At 45.7% G+C, this 18,378-nt stretch overlaps 1 long non-coding RNA gene and 2 other non-coding genes across 5 annotated transcripts; 2 read left to right on the forward strand and 1 right to left on the reverse strand.

Moving 5' to 3' along the window:
* Positions 1-305: 305 nt before the first annotated feature.
* MIR122HG (MIR122 host gene) lies at positions 306-5,324 on the forward strand. 3 transcript variants are annotated; one of them, NR_170245.1, is made up of 3 exons: positions 306-380; positions 3,352-3,583; positions 4,862-5,324. It is a non-coding gene; the product is annotated as an MIR122 host gene (long non-coding RNA). The 3 variants fall into 3 exon arrangements; NR_170244.1 differs by having other exon boundaries at positions 5,024-5,324; NR_170243.1 differs by lacking the exon at positions 4,862-5,324 and adding an exon at positions 4,534-4,647.
* On the forward strand, positions 5,117-5,201 carry MIR122 (microRNA 122). The gene has a single exon (NR_029667.1). It is a non-coding gene; the product is annotated as a microRNA 122 (primary transcript).
* MIR3591 (microRNA 3591) lies at positions 5,123-5,195 on the reverse strand. Its single transcript, NR_039899.1, has one exon. It is a non-coding gene; the product is annotated as a microRNA 3591 (primary transcript).
* Positions 5,325-18,378: the final 13,054 nt, after the last annotated feature.

Consider the following 18,378-nt stretch of genomic DNA (forward strand, 5'->3'; position numbering starts at 1 on the left):
GAGGAACGTTAAACTGGTTGGAAGTTGGGGTTCTGAGGGGAAGATGTATTCACTAGGTGACCTGTCTTCTCTGCCTCGGTGGCCTCCATGGCTGCCTGCTGGCCGCACACCCCCACTCAGCAGAGGAATGGACTTTCCAATCTTGCTGAGTGTGTTTGACCAAAGGTGGTGCTGACTTAGTGGCCTAAGGTCGTGCCCTCCCTCCCCCACTGAATCGATAAATAATGCGACTTATCAGAAAGAGAAAGAATTGTTTACTTTTAAACCCTGGATCCCATAAAGGGAGAGGGGAGAGGCCTAAAGCCACAGAAGCTGTGGAAGGCGCCATCCTGCCTGCCACAGGAAGGGCCTTGGACTGAGAGGACCGGAGCTGACTGGGGGTAAGTGCGGCTCTCCCCCGGCGCCTGCCGACCCCCCTGAGTGATCAGGCCGTTCTTTGGGGTGGCCGCTGACCGAGAAATGACGGGAGGCTGCTGACTCCGGTGTTGAAAAAGATGCCACCCAGCGCCTGAGCAACAGGAGGTGTTGAACACACCATAACTTTGTCTTCCATGATTATTCTGTTTCCTCAGAAAGCTTGAGGAAAACTGGAGACTTTCTTTAGAGAGAGTAACAGATGGTTTCCGTTTAAAGAAAAATAACAAAATGGCTTAAGGAGGAAAAGAAATGATCACCCTGCAGAGGGAGAGAGGATGAGGCTGGGGAGGAGCTGAGGGCTCAGGGACGGTGTGGGGTTTTATTTCTGCCCTTGGAGTGGCTGGACATTAAGCCAGTTCTTGTTTTTACGATGGCCTGATTCAGCAATAACACCAAACCTTCAAACAAAATGCCGGCATTAGAGTCGTTCCTTTGGCATGCCTCTGTCCAGGTCATATTGTTCCCTCAATAGCACTAAAAATAGCTGGACACCTGTGCAGAAATGAGACAGTTCCTTAGGAATCCCCAAGCCTCAGCAATTCTCTTTAAAAAGAGTCCGTGGAGGCCCCAACTTGGCTAAAAATGTACCCAGTGATTCCTTCTTCACCACTGATTGGTGAGAAACACAGGCATGAATAGGTGCATGAATAGGGAACTTTCCAGATTTCCCTTCTAGATGGATTTCAATGAGGAAAGAAATGCTGCTTTGCTCCCTGTTGACAAGAACATTCTATTTTAAAATTTCCATGCACTTTCAAAATGACAAGACTCAGAAGCATAATACCAACTTCCTTTGTCATGTAGACTAACAGCCTAAAATAATCAAATGGATGCATTTAACACATCTATTTTAAATGGCAGTAAACGTGGATTCAGAGTAAAAAGCATCTCCACTTATCTTTCACTTTTTAAGAAATTTTTTTTTGGTACTGATGGGTTAGGTTTGCAGCAAGGTGACACTTCACAGTCCCCAAAGCACCCAAACCCCCTATGGGGTTGGCCCTAGAATGCTCTCAGCCCCTGGGAACAACATCTTAAAGCAAAGACAAGCTGCTCGTGCCCAGATCTGACCTGAGAAAGTGAGTGTTGCGATATTCCTGGTACTTGTGAATCTAAGACGTCACGCTGGGAGCTGTGGTGCATACAGAATGCGTACAGAGTGGTGAATTTGCTGGAGGGTCTGGCTTTGTAAAAGCTTCCTCCTTAATGAGCTTTTTTTCTCACTTATGAAAAGAAATGCAGGGCATTAAAAGAGGAGCAAACCAAATCTAGCCTGTTTTTCATACTCACGGATCCAGTGGGAAAGCTGCATTCTGAATTGGCCACAGCAGCTAGAGATGCCTGGAGATTTCATCACTGTTGGGAAGACGAGTGCAGGAAGATGACAGCACACAGAAATTTCGTGTGTGTGTTTTCTTTAGAAATGGGATCTCAAACAACTGGGCTCAAGGGATCCTCCTGCCTAAGACTCCTGAGTAGCTGAGACTCCAGGAGAAATTTAGTATTAATAGACTGCCATTCAGGAATGGCTAGCACTCTACCTTTCTCAGGGAGATCTCAGGAAGTAAGGCATAAAGAGAGATGGTGGGAGATTTATGTGGATGGGATCGGGGCCCAGGGAAGCTAAACAGAATCCCTCAAGGCCTTTTCCACACTGTAGAAAATTGTGCTGGCATTTGGACAAGTCACCCTGCTTAATATCAAACATCTTTGCCTTAAGCATTATTTTTTCAAAGGAAATAACGTGTTAATACTTCCCAACCAGTGTATAATGTTTCTATTTGTTATTAGCTCGTACTATTTAAGTTCAGTTGTTAAGTTTGAAAATACTAGAACATTAAAAATCTGCAGAATGAGAAATTATTTTGTGAATGTTTAAAATATTCAAAAGTGGATCCTGACACTAACCACTTTTAATTTATTTTACTAGCGATATATTATTGGATGACTTTTTTTTTTTAAAAAAAGAAAACCTTCTGCTTGTTTGTTTAAACTGCTTTGTAAATTGACAGTTTAACCACCTCTGCAGAAACAAAGTAGTAATAAAAGATGTTGGCCATTTTAGCAATGTTTAAAAATTGCTCACAAGACAGAAAATGATTGGCACTCAATATGTGTTTAGTGATTGATGCAATAATACCATAAAATTATTGTACTGCATAATAAAGTATTTCACTAATAATTTGCTAAAAAATTAGCCTGAGGCCTGCCACTCAGCACAGCACTAACTTTTCATGCTTGTGACAAGTTGTATATGAGCAGGATGGGTTCCAACCTTCCCAATTTCAGAAGAGTATTTTGCAAGAAGGAATTTGTATTGAGAGTCCAGAAAGAAAATTGCCTAAAAGTTTTTAAATCCTCATTTTTCTCAATAAAAAAGTGCCATATGAATCATAAATTAACAAATGCACACAAAAGGAGAAAATGAAAACAAACCATAATTTCTCTACTGAAAGATAACCATGGTTAACATTTGATGTTTTGGCCTCAGGCATGTATGCATTTTTTCACAGAAAGGGACTCATACTGTGTATATTGTTTTATAAACTGTTTTTTAATTCAATAACATATCTTGAATTTCCAAGTCTACCAGACTTTTCTACAGAATCAATTTAAATAATTATGGTCTATCATAAATATATTACTCTTCTCCTATAGCTGGACATTTAGGTTGTTTCCAATGTTTACCCTTATAAACAATGCCACTATGAGCAACCTTATAGGTAAATCTTTCTACAAATTTTTGACATTTTCCTGGAGATAGATTTCTGGGCCATAGAAATTGAGGTTGATTTGGGGTGGGGGGAGTTGGTAAGATTTACCTGTAAAGGTTGATTTGGGGGGTGGGGAGTTGGTAAGATTTACCTGTAATGCATTAACTTCCTCATCTCTTTTCATCTTCCATCTGTTCCTTCCCTTTTCTGTATTTTGCAGATTATTCAAAGCCAAAAGCCAACAGAGCCCCCATGGAGAAGTGGAGGATGCTCAGATACTGCTATGGAGCCCTGAGAAGTGAAATGGGTCCAAGCCCTTGCCCAGGATAGAGCGCTCCAAGCGCATCCTCCGGGGACCCTTTTAATCAGTGAATTGTTCACCTCTCACTGTTTCTTCCCAGCAGAGCTAAGAGACTTCTAGAGCCTCTTGTGGATGGTCAGCGATAGCCCTGGTATGACCAGGAGGTGGCGATTTCTGTTCTAGGTCCCTCAGCAAAGACTAAGCAGGACAAGCCTGGCTACTGTGTTAGGAGGAGCTGTAGGGAAAGGGAAGGACAAGATGGGCCACCACATGCCTGTGTCCACTGCTGGCCACACCCAGAGTGCTAGGGGTTTGTGGCAGTGACTGGGGCCACCTAGAGCAGTTCTAGGGTTCGTAGTCATTCTCTCTGAGTCATGGAAAACTGCCCAGGAGGCGAGTCCCACCTAAGAGAGTATGTGTAGCACTGGCACGGCCTGCTGCCTTGCAAATGACCACATTTCATGAAAGAAAGCCAGGGCCACAGACAGGAACCAAAGGAAATCAGTCACTTAGGGGAAGATAACGAATCCACAAAGTGAAAAAGGGAAAGAAAAAAAGAGGCAACTTCAACACTCCAACCCATGGGAGCAGAACGACTTTCAGCTTTCGCAGGGGGATAATCACTGCAAGTCCAGCTTGAAGAGGGTGATTTCAGGATCTACATGAGAATAAGGCGCAATTTTTTTTTTTTTTTTCTGAAAAATACGGAAGGGTTCATTTACAGCTGTTAAAGATGGGCCGGTTTTAGGGCTAAAGCAAGACTCTGGTCAGATGTTAACAACTCAGTTATCCTGGGGAAAAAATAACTGGCTCCCAACCCTTTCCCTTTTCAGCATTTGCAGGAAAAGAAGGAGTAGGTAAAATGCTTTATTTCCTCTCATTCTCCATGGTGGGCAGGAGTTCACATAACAATTATAAACCATCTTTAACAGGAAAGCCAAGTAAATCCTGTAGGGATTTATTTGGAGCTCCCTTTTTGCTAGAAAATGAGTATCATGAACTAAAAATGGACTCGTTTCCTCTCTCTCCATCTTCCTCTCTTTCTTCTCTCCCCTCATCTCCCACCCACCGCCATGGTGGAAAATGACTGTGGTCAAGAAGATTGAACATTTGAGCAAGACCAGATGCCTTTATATCCAATAGATGCCACGGAGAGTAGATCACAACACATCTAACTGCTGTATCCCCATATAAAATAATTTTAATTTTCCTAGACTGCAGAATTGATCACATTTACTGATGATGGATTGGGAAGTAGGTGAAGAGGTGAGAGTTGGAGAGTATCCATTCATTCGGCCAGATTATTCTCATTTATAATGTAGTCTTCCAATAAGTATTTATTTCCAGAAATCTATTCCCTCTAGAGATTCTTTCTCTCTCAGCCATTTTAGAAAATTGTTGCAAACAGAGTTCCTGTCCATTTTCACAGGAAGTTTTTGCAGAAGGGGTTTGCTGGGTGGCAGTGGAACACAGGCAGTGGACCCCTCTACTACTCTACTGTTCCAGAACACAGAAGCCTTTCATTGAGAGTGTTCAGCTCTTCCCATTGCTCAAGATGCTTGTACCCGTGATGCTTCTTTTCTCTGCTTAGGTCACAATATGTGGAGCTGACAAGGTTCCCCTATTATCAGTGACAATGGTGGAATGTGGAGGTGAAGTTAACACCTTCGTGGCTACAGAGTTTCCTTAGCAGAGCTGTGGAGTGTGACAATGGTGTTTGTGTCTAAACTATCAAACGCCATTATCACACTAAATAGCTACTGCTAGGCAATCCTTCCCTCGATAAATGTCTTGGCATCGTTTGCTTTGAGCAAGAAGGTTCATCTGATATCAGTCTTCTCAATCTTGTGTACTTACTGAATAAAGTCTGGCTCTTTTGCACTCATAACCAATATGGTTAGCTGAACCCTGCCTCTCACATGCTGTTGTTACATACCTTAGCTGGTGATTAATTTTCTTGTTTTCCCAAGTCAATAAAAAGATTGCAGACCAGGCACGGTGGCTCACGCCTGAAATCCCAGCACTTTGGGAGGCCAAGGCAGGCGGATCACTTGAGCTCAGGAGTTCAAGTCCAGCCTGGGCAGCATGGTGAAACCGTGTCTCTACAAAAACTACAAAAATTAGCCAGGCATGGTGGCATGTGCCTGTAATCTCAGCTACTTGAGAGGCTGAGGTGGGAGGATCAATTGAGCCCACGAGGTTGAGGCTGTAGTGAGCTGTGATGGTACCACTGCACTCCAGCCTGTGTGACAGAGCAAGATCCTGTCTCAAAAAATGAAAATAAAAAGATTGCAGAGTTCCTCAGAGCCCCCAACACAAGGCCAGGCACGAGGTAATCATTTAACCCATGCTTATAGACTTAAAATGAATAGTTAGGAAAGTGTTAGACGCAGAAGGCTAAGACTGGGCTAAATCTATGTTATGCAGACAGACCGCAAGCTTATAGGTACAAAATTAAGGTGTGTGGGTCCTTCTCTTTTCGTCGTTAAAAAATCCAACTTTCTAATAAACTTACACATGGTTTCACTGACGTTTCAGAAATTCTAGAATATGTTTGATTTCTACTGATTTCAATCAATTACTAGGCTGATTACTGAATTCGTACACTAGGCCTTTCTTCCTCTTGCATCAGTGAATTACCATCAGAAAATTGTTTATGAAGCATGTGTGAGCTGCCATAGCAAATCTGGGACCCATGCAGTTTCTAGGACAGTTGGCCCAGCCAGGTGCTCTGGTTTGGAACCCATTCTGTCTCTGAGAGGTGTCTAAAGTCAGGAGTAGGTTTCGTTTGTGCCAGACTAAAGCTTCCCTCCCCAGGCTTGGTTAAATGAAGTAGGACATGTTTAATCAAATAGACAGGGTTAGATCAACCATCAGAAACAAATTCAACCATTCAACCATTCACTTATGAAATAAATATGTGTAGAGACTACCGTGTGCCTGACACTGTCCTAGGCATTGAAGACACTTTTAAATTAAATGTGTCTGATGTTATTTCCAGAGATGGGCATTCACTGGCTCGCATTATATTTTGGGACCATTGTAATTGTTCCAAACGGGAGCCAAATGAGCAAAACTTTGCGAAATAATTCTGAGTCCCTTGCTGGAAAGCCTCACCTGAATGCAGCCCACACATTTATGATACACTACAAAGGCTTCAAGGTCATGAGATGCCTCTGTCCAAAGAAGAAGAAGAGCACCCCTGCCTGCCCTGCATCTCTTACCACCTCTCATTTCTTCCCTCCTGGCACCATCTACTGTCAAGAAGAGAATCAGACTCCCTGAAATAATTGAGACACTGACATTCCTTTTTGTGTGTATTTTTTTGGCAAAGGCTCTAATTGAACAGGCATTAATAGAGGGCTCTACTGTTATACAGATCACGCTCATGCACACTGTATTAGTCTGTGTTTTCATGCTGCTGACAAAGACATACCCGAGACTGGGAAGAAAAAGAGGTTTAATTGGACTTACAGTTCCACATGGCTAGGGAGACCTCAGAATCATGGCGGGAGATGAAAGGCACTTCTTACGTGGCATCAGCAATAGAAAATGAGGAAAAAGCCAAAGTGGAAACCCCTGATAAACCCATCAGATCTCGTGAGACTTATTCACTATCATGAGAATAGCAGGGGAAAGACTGACCCCCATGATTCAATTACCTTTCCCTGGGTCCCTCCCACAGCACGTGGGAATTCTGTGCGATACAATTGAAGCCGAGATCTGGATGGGGACTCAGCCAAACCATATCACATGCCATTTCATTTGATCCATACAACATGGGGCAAAGATGATCGGTTTGACAAACAGAGTCTAAAGGGTTCTGGAATCGTCTGGTCCTCCAGCCACAACTCAACATGGATCTCTTAAGTCTAAAGTTCTGTCCTGTACCTGCAGCCTCCTTTGGCCTAGTTATTTTGTGAAATCTCATGCTTCACAGTCGAATCTGTGTAGAACCTGGGTTAATCACGCCAGTATGCGATCAATATCCTCATCTCCCCATCTGCTTTGTCAGTGGATTCTGAGGGAAAACCTGTAAATTAGAGAGGGATGAGCCATATAAGAATGTCTCCTTGTGAGTGTTCATTGTGCAGAGAAAGCTGAAAATTGCAAAACCCTGTAATCATGAAATGAAAGAGAAGGAACATCTAAGTGGTAGCTTTGGGGTCAGGAAGAGGGTAGACAAACTGTCCCAACACCAAGCAGCCATCTACATGACCCAGCCACCTGATGTGGCACCAAATGACCCAGAGTCTTGAGGTTCTGAACTGTTCCCAGACTCGGGGACAATGTGAGGACTGGGTCTTCCATGCTCCTTTTCACTCCCACTCACCCTGAGATTTTTCTCAGGTGGAATTAAACAGGGAGCCAAGTGAATAGCATTCTGTGTCTTTTCTGCTAGGTTGGCTCATTTAATGGCTTATTATGATTGCTGCCTGGATTCGTTTTGCATTCGGGATTGGAGACCTGTCATTTCTGTAGATCTCTAAGGAACACACATAGAAGGCAAAGCTTCCCTCTCCCCTTTCTACCTCTAATTACAATCCTGCTGCTCCAAATCTCTGATGATGGCATCTTCCCAGACCAGCTTTTATCTCCCCTTCCCTCCCCAGGATGATTACTGCCAGTCATTTCCAATAAAGCATTCCTGGGGACAGGTACTGACTCTGAATATGGTTTGCAAGATGAAAGGGTTCACTTGGACGTGCAGTTAAAAATCACACTCGTGCTGGGGAGGCAGCAGAGAACACAGTCACCTTGACATGTTTTCTTCCCCGGGAGACAAGCCACTTGAGTCTAGCTTTGCTTTGTGGATCACACCATGGAGTCCTGATGAATCCTTTCATCTTAGTACAATGTGTACTTTGAATGTGAAAGTTGCCACTTGCAGCCTGTCCAGTGTTCTATCCAGCCCCAGAGGAAGTTTTGTGAAATAACATGGCAGTTAGCATGTATCGATGGCTTATCTACATATTTTTATGAACTCTTCTTAAACCTATATTTTCTGATTCAATACTTCATTGAATCAGAAGACAAAGGAATGCTAGAACTGGAAAGCAGTCTACTCTTTGTTCTGATGAGGAAATCGAAGCCTAGGTCTTCTAGAATTTACTAGACAGGTCCACATTCACAGTCCCCTCCCCTGCCTCATCAGCCATTCCCTGAGCAGACATGGGTTGTATGTTTCTATGTGCCAGGTGTTCTACTGGGATCTGGGGATCCAAAGAAGAATGAGGTCAGGTCCTTTCCCTGAGCTATTCTCAATGTAGGAGTTGCACAGAGGCTTAAACAAAGACATGTATGCCTCCGCGTACTAGATGCCGGCACAGAGGCAGAGACAGCGTACCAAGAGGCCTTACTTATGCCCTTGTTTTCTTTCCAGGTGAAGAAACACTGAGTCTTTGATGTTATGATCCTTTTTGTTACTGTTGGGAAAACATTCCTTCTGGTTTATTTTGGTGATTCAACTTCCAACAAGTTATGGATAAAAGGCGTTTCTTTGTTTTGGGAGACAACGCTGTCATAGCATTGTCTCCCAACGTCTTCCTGCTTTCACTTTGCCACTTGCCAGCATAATGAGCAGCTCAGCATCTGTTGAGGGACTGGGAGTGGATGGTACACTTTCCAGGAATGTTGTGGAGAATTTTAATTTCTCCAAGGATCTGGGAGAAATGTTAGCTGGTTGTTCTTCAAAATGCAGGCTGGGTTAATGCTGTTTCCTTCATTGCTGCCTCACAAAAAGCCTCCTCCAAGGTCACCTCACTGCTCCTCAGTTTCCCTTCCTTTGGGACAGGCTCAGGAAAGCCGCTCAGTGTAAATCTGTGGCGGAAGCCCCCAGGCCTTGTGAAGAGGTAGCAGAATGGGGGCATCTGCTTTCTTCTCTTTGATATCCAAGTTTCTAAAAGGAAGAAAAGGGAGAATTACAAAGCACATGCAAGCTCACAAAAATGTAGATGGCTACTGAGGATCCTAAAGGGCCTGATCACAATTCCTCCCTTAATTTAGGGAGCCAAGTGCTTCCCAATGTGCTCTGGAAAAAACATGTGACACAAACATGCACTTAGGATATCTAAACACTGTGCATAGGATGCAAAAATGAGTCAGACTCTCGCATTCACTCCTGCACGCATTCGTCTACTCAATCAACATTCAATTGTGCGTTCCTACTGAGTGCCAGGCATCATGCTAGTCACTGACAATTCACAGAGGTGATGCTCTCCCCAGAACCTAGTTGCTTCCAGCTCAGTGAGGACACACACAGGCAAATGAGTCATGGCTGGGTTGAGCTGCAGGTTCTTTGAAGCAGGTATGGGGTGTACCATGGGGCCCAAAGGAAGAAAACACCGTCCATGGTTTGTGAGAAAGGCATGAATAATACTAAGAGGTGAGCACTCTGGCACTTGTGGTGACCCTGGCAGCCCTCCAATGAAGGAGAACGTTGTGACCTCGGCTAGCAAAGTGTAAAAGTTTTCACTTTGACAGAGGTTGAGTTACATTCAAGTTTCTAAAGCATTCCCCAGCAATTCCCTCCAGACAGCAACTGAGCTATGAATCTGGAATTTATTTGGTAGGGACTTTTCTCTCTCAGAAATGCAGCCAAACACCAAAGAAAAAGATCACCTTTTAAATAAAAGAAGCACATTGTACTATTTGGCAAGTGACTGGGGGCAGGTGTGTGTGTCTGTGTGTTAACGCACATATATGTGAAGAATTTTAATTTCTCAAAGGAGCTGGGTAAGATGCCTTTAATGTTTCATTCGACCGGGACTGTCTCTTCTTTTTCTTTCTTTCAACCAGGGAAAAGCCAATGCTGACCTGCAGCTGGGGCTGAAGTGAGCATTCTCCTATTTACCTTTCAGCCTGAGGCTATACTTTCCTTGGGAGACTGCCCTCGGTACTAGGCTAGGCCCCCCGCACACAATCACATCAATGGTTCAAAAGGGTTTTAGGCCTGCTCCCCAAGTATTCCAGACAGATTGAATAAAGGGCTTCCCCTGATAGCAAAATCCAGCTTTAATTCTGATAAAGTGCTTTATTTTCTGAGACAAGGTTTCGCTCTGTCGCCCAGGCTGGAGTGCACTGGTACGATCTTGGCTCACTGCGGCCTTGACCTAATTTGGGCTCAAGCAATCCTCTTACCTCAGCCTCCTGAGTAGCTGGGACTACGGGCATGCACCGCAAGTCTGACTAATTTTTAATTTTTTTGTAGAGACAGGGTCTCACCGTGTTGTCTAGGCTTGTCTTGAACTCCTGGGCTTAAGTGATCTGCCCATCTCAGCCTCCCAAAGTGCTGAGATTACAGTTGTGAGCCACCACGCCTGGCCAAAGTACATTTTTAAAGGCTTGAGGTGAGAGGGAAAGGAGTGGAAGTGATTGTTCCGTTGAGTGTCTATTGACCCATTAAATACACCAGATAAGAACTAATCTTGTTCTACCCAGAGAACAAGTCTCTTCCTTTTCACTTTTTGGCACATTTAGCGCAGTCAAGAGCTAATTAAAGTCCTTCCCGTTTCTCAGGGCTGCCTGTCTTCCCTGTGGCACATCCTGTTCTGTTTTTTGGCTTGGCTTCCAATTGCAGCTGGATACAAAGAAGTCAGAGGTGATCTCCCACTCGTTTGGATGTGCCAGCTACTATTTTTCTAAATTTCTAGTCCCTCTCATGAGCACTGACAATCTGTGCCTGAGATTTTTCTGGTCTCTGCATAAGTTCAGGATATCTCATATGCGGCCTCTGCTCAGCAATTAGTGGCTAATATTGCTGGGTTGGGTGAAACATGGACACAGGAGCTGTACGTGTCCCCAAAGAAGGAGCTCCAAAAGCCACCCCCAAATGCGGATGGTATATTAGGAAATTTTGTTTGCAAGAGGCAATTTTTTTCTTAGATTATCTCAAATAATTCATTCTCATGACAGTATTTCTTAAACACCTGCTATGTACAAGGCACTGAGCTGGGGTAAGCTTTTTGGAAGGGGCCACATGGCAGGGGGAGAGTAATCACATAGAAACTCACAAATAGTCATAAGGCAGGACCCTGTGGAAAATGCACAGGCAGTCAGGATTCAGGAGCATGTTAGAGATGAGGGCATCTGGTCACCCCAAGACTGCAGCAATCAAGCTGGCCTCCACCGCGATGGTGATTCATTTGCTCCATCTCTCTGTTCTTTCTGCTACCCTAGCTGCCTCCATCCTTGCCGACTATTTCTGCTCACTCTACTGCTGCCTACTCGTGTCCTCTGCTAATCCTGGGGTCCATGGCCCCTGCTGCCTCATGGCCTCTGCCTGCCTCCTTTTGGTGTCCTTTCAGTTTCTTCTTATGAAATCCTAGCCTCCCGAGTAGCTAGGATTACAGGCTCAACACCATGCCTGGTCAGTGTTTTGATTTTTTTTATAGATGGGGTCTCACTGTGTTGCCCAGGCTAGTCTTGAACTCCTGGCCTCAAGCAATCCTCCTGCCTCAGCCTTCCAAAGGCCTGGGATTACAGGCATGAGCCACTGGAGCCCATTTTTAAAACCTAAATTAGATTATGTCACTCTCCTGCTCAAAATCTTTTAATGGTTCCCAGCTCACTGGGAATAAAATTCAAGGATCCCTTCATCCTCTGAGACAGACCTCACCTCCTGCTCTTCCTCTTGCTCACCCCATGCCACCCTCATCCCTGCAGTTCCTCAAACATGCAGAGTGCATTCCTGCCTCAGGACCTTCGTACTTGCTGTTCCCGTTACCTGGACCGTTTTCCCAGATATATGCATGCCACTTCAGTCATGTTTCTATTCAAAGTTTTCTTTTCAGAGAAGCCTTCCCCAGCTTTGCAGCACTTTTTGCCTCCTGACGTCACTTCTTAGTCTATTTTCTGTGTCTACACTAGTAGGTCAGACATAAGAGGACAAGGATGTTGCTGTATCCCCAGCTCACAGAACAGTGTCAATCACAATATTTGTTGGATACAATGAATGGTTGGAAACGGCAGGAATTTTCTGCATGTCTCCAGGCTATGTCCCCAGTCATTGGACCATATTATTGTTAATCAATATTTCATTTTAGCCAATATCCATCCTGTTACAATTATGTGGCTGTCTGTCTCTGTCACCAGCTGGCCTTGTTTCCTGCCAAACACCTTGTCCTTAATTGTCTCAACAGCTGCCCTGTGCATTTCTCATGCCAGATACCAGCCTGAAATGCTGCCATTTCTCTGCCTGAAAAATCCTCAGGATGATTCTTCAAACCCCTGAAATGGACAATGACATTTCATGCACAGGTGCACTTTTCTAGGGGGAGGGTCCAGAGCCGTCACTCAATTTGCAAGAGGGTCCTCCACCCTCTGAAGGCTGAGGAGCTCTGATTTTAAGCATCAGCAGTCCATTCGCCTAAACCACGCTAAGCTTTCTATCTGTGTGGCAGGCCCTCTTGGGGCGCCTTCCACTGGCTGATACCTTGTGATGCCTCTGTTCTTCATACCTGAGCTGGTTTCACCAGGATGTTCTCTGTGCACCTCTAGAAGTTTCCTCCCTTAGGCCACATTCTGAAATCTTAAGCAAAATACCACACTCCCCTACAGCGAGCAGGGTCCCTAATGGCTGCCCCCACGCGGCTGTTTTATTACTGGCAGTGAAATGGGCTGGGTCCAACCCCCTGCAACTGAAGCAGCATCGTTTGTCTGGGGTAATACCCGAGGTTGGTTGTCTCATGCCAAGGAAATCGAAGACACAGACACACAGGGAGTGGCTTTAAGAGCGGAATGTTTATCAGGCAAAAGAGAAAAGCTCCCCCGTGCAGAGGGAGGGGGTTTCTGAATGCATCTCCCGGGTTTGGGGCAAGATGCTGAGAGGTGACAGCGTGCTCACAGCCCTTGCAGCCCTCGCTCGCTCTCGGCGCCTCTGCCTGGGCGCCCACTCTGGCGGCGCTGGAGGGGCCCTTCAGCCCGCCGCTGCACCGTGGGAGCCCCTTTCTGGGCTGGCCGAGGCCGGAGCCGGCTCCCTCGGCTTGCGGGGAGGTGTGGAGGGAGAGGCACGGGCGGGAACCGGGGCAGCGCACGGCGCTTGCGGGCCAGCTAGAGTTCCAGGTGGGCATGGGCTTGGCGGCCCGGCACTCGGAGCGGCCCCGGGCAGTGAGGGGCTTAGCACCCGGGACAGCAGCTGCGGAGGGTGCACCAGGTCCCCCAGCAGTGCCGGCCTACCGGCGCTGCGCTCGATTTCTCGCCGGGCCTTAGCTGCCTCCCCACGGGGAAGGGCTCAGGCCCTGCAGCTCGCCATGCTTGAGCCCGCCCCTGCCCCCGCCGTGGGCTCCTGTGCAGTCCGAGCCTCCCCGACAAGCGCCACCCCCTGCTCCAGGGCACCCGGTCCCATCGACGGCCAAAGGGCTGAGGAGTGCGGGCGCACGGCGGGACTGGCAGGCAGCTCCACGTGCAGCACCGGTGCGGGATCCACTGGGTGAAGCCACCTGGGCTCCTGAGTCTAGTGGGGACTTGGAGAACCTTTATGTCTAGCTAAGAGATTGTAAATACACCAATCAGCACTCTGTATCTAGCTCAAGGTTTGTAAACACACCAATCAGCACCCTGTGTCTAGCTCAAGGTTTGTGGATGCAGCAATGAGCACTCTGTATCTAGCTAATCTGGTGGGGACTTGGAGAATCTTTATGTCTAGCTAAGGGATTGTGAATACACCAATCAGCACTCTGTATCTAGCTCAAGGTTTGTAAATGCACCAATCAGCACCCTGTGTCTAGCTCAGGGTTTGTAAATATACCAATCAGCACTCTGTATCTAGCTAATCTAGTGGAGAACTTTTGTGTCTAGCTCAGGGTTTGTAAATATACCAATCAGCACTCTGTATCTAGCTAATCTAGTGGAGAACTTTTGTGTCTAGCTCAGGGATTGTAAACGCACCAATCAGCACCCTGTCAAAACGGACCAATAGGCTCTCTGTAAAACAGACCAATCAGCTCTCTGTAAAATGGACCAATCAGCAGGATGTGGGTGGGGCCAGATAAGGGAATAAAAGCATGCCCCCCCCCCCCCCCCCCCCAGCCGGAAGTGGCAATCTGTTTGGGTCTCCTTCTACAGTGTGGAGGTTTTATTCTTTTGCTCTTTGCTGCAAATCATGCTGCTCACTGTTCGGGTCCAGGCTGCTTTAATGAGCTGTAACACTCACTGCGAAGGTTTGTAGCTTCTCTTTTGAGGCCAGAGAGACCATGAACCCAGGGGGAGGAATGAACAACTCCAGACGCGCCTCTTTAAGAGCTGTAACACTCACCGCCTAGGTCTGCAGCTTTGCTCCTGAGCCAGCGAGACCAGGAACCCACCAGAAGGAAGAAACTCTGGACATGCCACCTTTAAGAACTGTAACACTCACCGCGAGGATCTGCAGCTTCATTCTTGAGGTCAGTGAGACCAAGAACCCACCAATTTTGGACACAATGCTATTGGTTTTATAAATCAGCTTGAAGAGGCGGTGTCTGATTTACACAGGGTATAGTGGGTTGGTTGGACCAGGTGTGCTACTTACATAGGGCACCAAGAGGCTGGCCATCCCACCCTAATCTTTTATTATGTAAATGAGGTCTTTACCTGACCAGCACCATACTGACTGCACACATGGTGCTAAAGGGAAGAGGAAACTTCCGTGTTGAATATGCGTGGCGTCCAGGTATCCCTTTTCTGTTGGCATAGCTGCTGGTGTCACCTGTGTAGGCTTCCAGCTTGCTTATCTAGGCTTGCAGTTTGAGTTTTCAGGCTGTTTTTATGAAAAGGAAAGCCTTACCAAGGACTCCCTTACTCTCATTAACTGCCTAAATAATTTCTTTTTAGCTACTGTGTCACAGCGACACTTTTTTGACTGTTGTATCGCAGAGACGTTTTTCTGGGAAGAGCTGCCTGCCAGCTCCGGACAGAATGGAGTCAAGTGCATCTGGGTGGGGGAGTGAAAAATGCAGATTACCTGGCCCACCCCAGACCCATTAAATCAGAAGCTGTGGGGATGGGGCCCGCAACCTGTGTGTTAACAAACCCTCCAGGTGATTCTGATGCCTGCTCAAGTTTAGAGCTGCTGGGCGGTAAGCCTGGGACACGGCAGTTCTCGTTAGTGTGTAATGAGAGTGATGAGGGAATCAATTAGCCAATTACTCTACCTTGGAAAAGAGAGGAGCAGTGTGTTCTCAGCCTTGGCTGCACATTAAAAGCACCCTGAGAGCTTTTAAAAATCCCAAGGCCTGGGCCATGCCCCAGATCAATTACATAAGATTCTCCAAGGGGGACCCAGGCACTGACATGTTTACAGCACACCAGGTGATTCTAATGTGCAGCCAACACTGAGCACCACTGCAGTAAAAGAAGACATTGGGTTGGGCACAGTGGCTTACACCTGTAATCCCAGCACTTTGGGAGGTCGAGGCAGGTAGATCACTTGAGGTTAGAAGTTCGAGACCAGCCTGGCCAACATGGTGAAACCCCATCTCTACTAAAAATACAAAAACTAGCCAGAGATGGTGGTGCATGCCTGTAATCCCAGCATGCCTGTAATCCCAGCTACCTGGGAGGCTGAGGCAGGAGAATCGCTTGAACTCAGGAGGTGGAAGTTGCAGTGAGCCAAAATCGTGCCATTGCATTCCAGCCTGGGCAACAGAGCAAGACTGTCTCAATAAACAAAGAATTAGCCTGATGTGGTGGCTACTATGCACTTGTAGTCCCAGCTACTCGAGAGGCTGAGATGGGAGGATTGCTTGAGCCCAGGGAGATTGAGGTTGGACTGAGCCATGATCACACTACTGCATTCTAGTCTGGGCGACAGAAGAGACCTTGTCTCCAAAAAAAAAGCATCAGCAATACGCTTTGCTTTGAATGGCTTAGATAACTTTATTTTTTGAAATATATTTCAATAGCTTTTGGGGTACAATTGGTTTTTGGTTATATGAATGAATTGTATAGTAGTGAAGTCTGAGATTTTAGCACAACCATCACCTAAGTAGTGTACGTTGTACCCAATATGTAGTTTTTTCTCCCTCACCCTCCCACCTTCCTTCTGAGTCTCCAAAGTCTGTTAAATCACTCTGTATGCCTTTGCTTACCCATAGCTTAGCTCCCACTTATTAGTGAGAACATATGGTATTTGGTTTTCCACTCCTGAGTTACTTCACTTAGAATAATGGCCTCCAGCTCCATCCAGGTTGCTGCAAAAGTCATTGTGTTTCATTCTTTATGGCTGAGTAGTATTCCTTGGTGTATATATACCACATTTTCTTTATCTTTGGTTGATGGGCACTTAGGTTGCTTCCATATCTTTGCAATTGTGAATTGTACGGCAGTCAACATACGTGCGCAGGTGTCTTTTTGATATAGTGACTTCTTTTCCTTTGGGTAGATACCCAGTACTGGGCTTGCTGGATCGAATGGTAGATCTACTTTTAGAGAACTTTATTTTAAATGGTGTACATAGAAGTCCATATCAAGTAACAAGTCATTTAGACAAAATAGAGCTTCTTTTTTTATATCCTATAATAAAAAATCTGAAGGCCGAGAGAGAGCCTAGAACTGGAACAGCAGCCTCACAAAGTCTTCAGCAATCCAGGCTCCTTCTAGATGGCCATTCTAGAAGGGTGGCCCTCAGAGTCACAGTGTAACTACTAGAGCTGTCACATTCATGTCCCAGGAAGGAAAAACTTAAAGAATGAGGGAAAAAGAGAATAGCTGCTCTCTTGTTTAATCTTCTGTAAGGAATGCTCCTGGAAGCCCCAACCAGAGAGTTATGCTGAGATCTCATTGGTCAGGACTGTGACACATGACTACCCTCAGCTGCAAGGGAGTCTGGGAAATGCAGTATTATAACTGAGCATCTTGCCATTGAGAGGAATATGGGTTCCGTTATTAAGGAAGAAGTGGGAAATGGATATTGAATAGAGAGAATGAAGATTGGGTAAGTAGCCATCAGTCCATTTCCGTATTAGTCAGAGTTCTCCAGAGAAACAGAACCAATAAGATATTTCTATAAATAGATGTATTATAAGGCATTGTTTACATGATTGTGGAGGCTGAGAAGTCCTACAATCTTCTGTCTGCAAGCTGGAGACCCAGGAAAGCAGGTTGGAAGGCCTGAGAGGTGAAGAGCCAATGGGGTCAATTCTAATCTGGTCTAAAGGCCTCAGAATCGAGGGTGCTGAAGCTTGATGTCCCAGCTCACCCAGTCAGACAGAAAGGGAATGTTACCTTCTTCTACCTTTTTGTTCTATTCAGGCCCTCAGTGGATTGGACGAGGCCCACCCACACTGGGGAGGGCCAACTGCTTTCCTCAGTTCACCAACTCAAATGCTAACCTCTTCCATGAACAGCTTCACAGACATACCAGAAATAATGTTTAAGCAGATACATGGGCATCCTGTGGCCCCATCAAGTTGACACATAAAATCAACCATCATAGTGTCACAAAAATCTTCCTTGGATGTTCATGGATGAATGATTTAGGGGGGTTTGTGCTACAGAACCATATTAGACTCAAAACTAGGAGAGAACTTTCCCAGAAAGCTGTGGGGCATTTAATTAATAAAAACTGCTGTGTCTACACTTTCCTTCTTTGACTGGGTAGTGGGGTTGGGTAGGGAGGGTGGTCAAGATAAGTAGGGGTGGCAGAGACAGAAAGAGACTAATCAGAGAAGTCACCAGGATTCTGAGGTGTTTGAAGTTATAATGAGGTGGGCACTTGTTTCAAGGTTTCACTGTGAATCAGTGAATTGGGGGGTAGAATCTGGAGAGAACGAGATCTGCTGTGACAAGGAGGAATTTTTTTCTGCAAACAGTGAGTGGAGGGTTAATCAGGACTCTTTGGGTCATATGGAATAGAAACCCAACTTCAACTAGATTTAGCAAAAAGGAATTTATTGTCTAACCTAATTGAATAGTATGAGGAGTATGTAGAATTCAGGCATGGCTGGATCTAGGTGAAAGAACCTCCAAGCT

Source organism: Homo sapiens, chromosome 18, assembly GCF_000001405.40.
Source record: "Homo sapiens chromosome 18, GRCh38.p14 Primary Assembly".
In the NCBI taxonomy this organism is placed as follows: domain Eukaryota; kingdom Metazoa; phylum Chordata; class Mammalia; order Primates; family Hominidae; genus Homo; species Homo sapiens.